A 4,724-nucleotide genomic window follows, 5' to 3' on the forward strand; every position below is an offset into this window, starting at 1 on the left:
CCTCCCTAGTAGCTGGGATTACAGGCATGTGCCACCATGCCCGGCTAATTTTGTATTTTTAGTAGAGACGCGGTTTCTCCATGTTGGTCAGGCTGGTCTCAAACTCCCGACCTCAGGTGATCCGCCTGCCTCGGCCTCCCAAAGTGCTGGGATTACAGCCATGAGCCACCACGCCCAGCCTGAAATGTTTTAATTTAGAAGCAGAATAGCCTCTTCAAATGAAATCATCTGCAGTACCCCACATATACGTATATAAAGAATTTTTTAGTAGTTGAACTAGAGATGGGGGTTCCTACCTTCCAATTATCTCAAGCATCTTTCTGGAACTCTAGAATTTAAGGAACACAGGTTGAAAACAAGTAATTTAAATCACTGCTTTTCAAATATTTTTCACCGTGATCCACACACAGGACCTTACCTCCTTCCAGGATACACACATGCACACGCACACACACAGATGTGAAAAAAAGTTCCACAAGACAATTTTACATTTTGTAGGTTATTTTATTCTATACGATTTATTTCTGTAATGTCAACCTTGATCCACTTAATTGATTTCAACACCCGATAATGCATATGTTGCATCTCACAGTTGAAAAACATTGATCTAGATTGAGAAAAGATGGATAAAAATTGTCCCCCCAAAATTGTTAAATTTCTTCATTGTTAGCACGATTAACTGGCAGGAGTGGATAGACGGTGGAACTGTGTGTGGACAATGATTCCTACTGCATAGCAGTGTTGATGAAAGAAATATTATATAGAAGAAGGATCATTAGATTTGCTGTACAATTATACAATGAGAGAAAACAAAACCAAGAAAGACACAGAGACTATGACTACATCAGTTAACCCAGAAAAAGAATTGTTCCTTTTTGGGTGAGGTGTGGTGGCTCATGCCTGTAATCCCAGCACTTTGGGAGGCTGAGGCGGGTGGATCACAAGGTTAAGAGTTTGAGACCAGCCTGACCAACATGGTGAAACCCTGTCTCTACTAAGAATCCAAAAATTAGCCAGGCGTGGTGGCAGGTGCCTGTAATCCCAGCTACTCGGGAGGCTGAGGCAGGAGAATCGCTTGAATCCGGGAGGCGGAGGTTGCAGTAAGCTGAGATCACACCACTGCACTCCAGCCTGGGCGACAGAGCAACAGAGCAAGACATCGTCTCAGGGGAAAAAAAAAAAATTGCTGCTTTACAACAATCCACTTTTTTAATTCATCAAAAAGCCATTAGGAAAAAACATTCAAAATAAAAAAAGTCATCTAGGATATGAAGGGAAAAAAAAGGAGGATAAATCTTGAAAGCCATTCACAGATAGTTCATAGTTTATACAAAAGAAAAAATTAAAGAGGAATCAAGTAACAATTGAGAAGGAGCCACAAATTCTTAGAGAATTTTAGCTGTTACACAAACAAATCAAAATACTGAGAGTATTGCAGCACTTTTTAAAGTTGATGTTTAAAATTGAACCTCCTTCCCATATTTAAGGAAGAAACAATAAGTGCAAAAACATTCTAATAATCAAAACAGCTCATTTTTTGTGTTTGTAACCTTGTGTTTATGAAATCAATCAAAGAAATCAACCAAATGGAGTAGTGAAAAGAACCCCGGCTGCTGGCTGGCTGTGTGTAGCCCAAACAGCCCATGTGAGCTGGGGATTAGAAGGCACTTTCTCTTAGTGAATAGAAATGGAAACAACTAGAGAATCCGAAATTCAGTGAGGAGCACCCTGGACTTCAAGCATTTGTAAATAGAACATCTGTGCATGCTTTGTAATTAACTGACCAGCTATATTTTGGAAAGTAGCCTGTGTTGTGTGACACCAAACCACCAAACCAAAATACCGTAACGGATGGGTCTAAGGCAGAGGCATGTCATGCCAGCCGAGGGGTTGCATCAGCGTCCATGCTAGTGAAGCAAGAAGAGAGGGAATTAGCAAGGCCGCACTCTATTCAGTCCTGAATGACGATTTTTATAATTCTATAGATGCAGAGGGTTTTATTTGTTTGGGTGTTTTAGTTGCTCTTTGCAACTTTAACTTGGTCCATTTCATTGTATTACCTCTTCTCAAATAATTCTATAATTTCTTTGTCAGGTTCCAAACGGAAATAACCCTAGAATACCTTGTGCTCCATAGACGGTAATTCCTTTTCTCCTTCCCTACAAAAGTGATGTTTCAGGAAATGAAGTTAGACGGAATTCTGGGATAATGGCTTTATCTGGCAGCCTATGCTACTACTGAGGAGAAAAAATGGTGAACATTTGGTAGACCCTATGGCACCTGCAAAACTCAAGCAGTCATATAGGATGGGAAATTGACATGATAATGAGCTCATTTGTATTCCCATTTACGGCCCTTCCAATGACTTACTCGGAGACTGCTTAGCGAAATCCTTTTGAGAGAATCTGACACAGCCTCCTCAATCTGGAGGTGTCTGTTTTTCTATTAAGGTGATCCCAAGACCCATTACAATTCACCAGTTCTGCCCTATCTGTCCCTAGAGAGAAATTAAAAGAAGATGGGGAGCATGTTCAGAGAAATAAATGTTGGGAGAAACGTTACTACTCAAACATTGAAAAAAACTTCCTTAATTCAACCTAATTAAGGATGAAGATCAATCTGAATTAGAGTACATTTCATGTAGAAAAGTTTTTTTAAAAAAACATCTCATTCTTTTTGGAATGAAACAGAATATAAATAAATATTTTTTAAAAACATATTAAAGATGGTGGGAAACAAAAACAACAAATCATTTCCAAGTAGAGACTGCTTCAATGAACAGGTAAGGCCATATCATAATTAAAACAATTATCTAGATGCAGACAATTAACCTACTAAGTCCTTAGGCTCAGTTCTTCACAAACAATGTAAAGCAACAGCAAGTGCTTTTTTTTTTTTTTTTTTTTTTTTTTTTTTTTTTTTTTTTTTTTTTTGCAGTGGTTCTCAGCCAGAGCTGTTCATCAAAAGTACCCCAGGGTATTTTCAAAATACAAATGCCCAGACTCACTCCAAATGTATTCCATCAGGGCACTTGTGGAAGGACAGGAAAAAAATGAGCGTGCACCCTTTGGAAAAAAAACTCCCAAGTTGATTCTTATGTGCAGCCTTAGCCAAAAACATGAATTTATTGAACATCCACTATCTTATAAACATTTTGCTTAGATAATCTTACAGATGGGGAATCTTAAGAAGTTACACAGACAAAATTTTGAATATCTGGTTCCAACTTCCATGCTTTGTCCTTAGCACTACATGCCCTATAAGATAACGTCAAGAAAGCCGAAATGCACCTCCTAGTTAGTAAGACTTAACTAGAAGTTAAGAAACAGAGGCTGATCCCAAATAAAAATATGCTAATCCCTGGCTGCTTAGAGAACTGAGCATACACCACGCTTCCCGAGATGTGCAGAGCTGGTCCTGGGTATAGTTCCCATAGAAAGAAATGGCAGCTGCAACACTGCCCGGCTTTTGAGTCTCTTTTCCTACACATGTGGTAGGAATTGTCACCTACCCCAGAGCTATATATTATACCTGAACAAACCTTTGCCCAAACATGTAGTGTTTCCTTGCTAGGACACATCTGGCCTGCTCCTTGAACTGGAGCTCTGAGATTAGCTGGCCAGATTCCAACTGAGAAGGCTTTTTATCTTTCTCACAGTGACAGGCAGCATTGGGAAGCCCCAGAGATCCGGCACAGGAAGGATGTTGATGATATTGTGGATGATGTTGCTGATGATATCTGAGAAAATCATCTTCCCCAAATGCCATCACGTCCATTGTCATCTGACAAGACCAGGCAGCAGTCTCTACTGCCTATCATGTCTAGTTGAATTCTCTCAGCCTGTGAGCACCCTCCATCAATTTGCCTCCTCATCTACCATCCCTTTAACCTGCTTTGTCCTCCCCAAAAGTAAGGGTTGGGTTCTTAACTCAGCCCATGTTCACAGTAGCCTTCACTCAGGGAAAACAACATCCTAGTCCACCACAGTCACCCTTTATCACATGATGACCACAGCAGCTTGTGGGAATAGGCAATGCACACCTTTGGGAGGCAGACTACCTGGATTTGCACCCTGCCTCTGGGCAAGTCACTTAACTTCTCAGAATCTCAATTTCCTTTTCTGCCAATGGGCTTGATAACATCTGTCCTGTGAGATTATGGCTGTGAGAGAGGCTTCTGGAGGCAAGGAGAACAGAATCCAATGAGATTATACTATGAAATTATCATTCATAGTACAATCTGGAATTATACTATGGAGGTATACTATGAAGGCTGGAGGTCTCATCTCTTTTTTACCCATCCTCACTCCATACAAGGGACAGGTGTGTGTTATCAAGTTAGTCGGTTATCCATTCTCTGCACTCACAATCTCCTGAATGATTACAGATGCCCAGAGATTAAGGCTTTGTCACTTTCCAGAAGAACCTCCCTGAGACAGAATCTCCTTATCACTAACCTAACCCTCTCTCATTACTTAGGTTTAAGTCCCTGTCTTACCTGCTTTTCTTAGAAAATGAAAGATATAGACAATTGCTACACACTACAAAAGAGACCTCCCTGGCACTGAAGCCACCATGTGCCTATATTCCTGTCCGCTCCTATGATGGTAGTGGCAGTGAAGAGCTACATGACAGGGCAGCACATTGAGACCTGGAGGAAACATGGCAAACAGAGAGGTCGCTGATCTGGGAATCAGGACCCCTGACACCCACTCAAGACACAG

Source organism: Homo sapiens, chromosome 1 (genome assembly GCF_000001405.40).
Source record: "Homo sapiens chromosome 1, GRCh38.p14 Primary Assembly".
In the NCBI taxonomy this organism is placed as follows: Eukaryota; Metazoa; Chordata; class Mammalia; order Primates; family Hominidae; genus Homo; species Homo sapiens.